Genomic DNA, 2,712 nt, shown 5'->3' on the forward strand with positions numbered 1-2,712 from the left:
CTCACGCAGACAACGTGGCTCCAGTGGAGCAAGTTGTGGCGGATGCTGGGGCTTTCCTTCGGGATGCGGCTCTGCAGGACATCGGGAAGAACATTTACATCATCCGGGAGGTGGTCACTGAGTTTCGGGACAAGGCCACATGCAGGCGGCTCGCTGTCCTGCCCTATGAGCTGCGGTTCAAGGAGCCCTTACCAGAATACGTGCAGCTGGTGACTGAGTTTTCAAAGAAAACAGGAGACTACCCCAGCCTCTCTGCCACGGACATCCAAGTGCTTGCGCTCACATACCAGTTGGAAGCAGAGTTTGTTGGGGTGTCTCACCTAAAACAAGAACCACAGAAGGTTAAACTGAGCTCATCGATTCAGCACCCAGAAACACCTCTGCACATTTCTGGTTTCCATCTGCCCTCCAAGCCTAAACCCCCACAAGAAACAGAAAAAGGACACCCAGCTTGTGAGCCTGAGAACCTGGAATTTAGTTCCTTCATGTTCCGGAGAAACCCTCTGCCCAACATCGATCATGAACTGCAGGAGCCGCTGATTGACAGAGGTGAGGACGTTCCAAGAGAGGAGGAGGAGGAGGAAGAAAACGGGTTTGAAGACAGAAAAGATGACAGCGATGACGACGGGGGTGGCTGGATAACCCCCAGTAACATCAAGCAGATCCAGCAGGAGCTGGAGCAGTGCGACGTCCCCGAGGACGTGCGGGTTGGCTGCGTGACCACAGACTTCCCCAGGCAGAATGTTCTGCTGCAGATGGGGCTGCACGTGCTGGCGGTGAACTGCATGCTGATTCGTGAGGCCCAGAGCTACGTCTGGGCTGCCACGGCTGTTTCAAGACAACGTCTGACATGAGCCGAGTGTTCTGTTCACACTGTGGGAACAAGACCCTGAAGAAAGTGTCCGTGACCATCAGTGACGACGGCACCCTGCACATGCACTTCTCCCGCAACCCCAAGGTGCTGAACGCCCGCGGCCTCCGGTACTCGCTTCCCACTCCCAAAGGGGGCACATACGCCATCAACCCCCATCTCACCGAGGATCAGCGCTTCCCTCAACCGCGACTCTCCCGAAAGGCCAGGCAGAAAACCAACGTGTTCGCCCCTGACTACATCGCCGGGATGTCGCCCTTTGTCGAGAATGACATCTCCAGCCGCTCAGCTACCCTACAGGTCCGGGACAGCACCTTGGGAGCTGGGCGGAGACGCTTAAATCCCAACGCTTCCAGAAAGAAGTTTGTGAAGAAAAGGTGAAGAGCGAGTTCCCGCAGGCAAATTGGATGGGCGTCTGGCCGCCGTGGAGTTCCGGTGACCCATTACCCCAGCCATGTCGTCTCCAGGACCACCCGATGGAAATTAACAGGCGGGCTTCACGGTGCGGTTCTGCCCGCCCATGCCCTGCCGGGTCTGCACGGAACTGGACTGTCCCATGGCCTGTGAGCATCGGAGCGCCTGGCTGCCTGCCAAGGAAGGGGAATTGGATAAAAACAGGAAGAACAATGCCCTGGAGCCAATCTTTAAGAAAGGAGTTTCCAAAGGATAATATTTTTCTAATAAATGCGGCTGCAAGCTCCTGTGCATTTTATTAAATAGGCCAAATTTTTGCTGCTTAGGTCATCTCAAGGCTGACACTTGAGCTGTGTGCCCAGTTCAGATTTATCTTTTTGCTAGAAAATACAAGGTTATAATAAAACTAAAAAAAAAAAAAAAAAAAAAAAAAGATCCAAATATATATCTCACCTCAAAAGAAAGAACAATAAGAGCTGGGTTGGGGAAACAATAAGGAATGATAAAGCCTGTATAGTAAGCAGAAGATGCTGCCCAGCCATATAAAAGGGTTTCAGCCCCAGATAAGGGCTGTAGAGTGTAAGGGCTGAGCTTCTACCCACCACATGTGGAGAAAATATGTAGCTTTGGCCCATGTGAAAGGAAAATGGACCTAAAACACTGAATAAGTTCAACAGCCTCTAAGGTCTGGTCTATCTGTGGAAATGAGACTACAAAAATTCTAACCATTAGCCCAGAGGAAGCTGTAAGGAAGGCTGCCATTTGATCAGGCCAGTGGGAGAGGGAAGGTTCCAATGAGAAATCAAAACCTCAGGCCCATCCAGAATGGGTTTCGTTCTAAATTTGCATTGCCTGTGTTGTAAAGAAACCCCAAAATAAACATTGACCTAGGCTGTGAAATCCCCAGAGCCCAGTCAGAAGCAAACAGGAAGCTATTCAGTGAGAACATGTCTACAATTCAATGCTCATGGACATTTTCCAAAAAAAAAACCACAGAAGATTATTTTTCCAATAAAATATTACAAACCCTAGGAAAAAGCAATCCACCATGAGCCAGGGAAGATGCAACAATTGAGAAAGTAGTTCACCAAAAACTGGAGGTAGTAGAACACTTTGATAAAAGGAAAGAATATAGAGTTCGATTGGCTGTCATCGGACTAGTCTTGGAAACCAAAAACTACCAAAACAAAGGCAACTATTCTTTGAAAAGTTGTCTCTTTTAGGGGCCATGTGCTACCTTGATGTGGCTTCCTAGTGTACATTTCAATTCTCTGCTCCCTTCAGATTTCCTTTATCTACTTAAAAATAATAACTCTTTGCTCTTTACTTCCATTTGAATGTATTCTTCCATATGCCATATGGAAGCCAGTATAGCTTAGTGTTGTAACATTAGATTCCGTAATTAAAATTTCTGAATTTACCTTGAT

At 48.5% G+C, this 2,712-nt stretch overlaps 1 pseudogene; it reads left to right on the forward strand.

The window, feature by feature from the left end:
* On the forward strand, positions 1-1,698 carry LOC152594 (NIN1 (RPN12) binding protein 1 homolog pseudogene; annotated as a pseudogene).

This window comes from Homo sapiens, chromosome 4 (genome assembly GCF_000001405.40).
Source record: "Homo sapiens chromosome 4, GRCh38.p14 Primary Assembly".
Classification (NCBI taxonomy): Eukaryota; Metazoa; Chordata; class Mammalia; order Primates; family Hominidae; genus Homo; species Homo sapiens.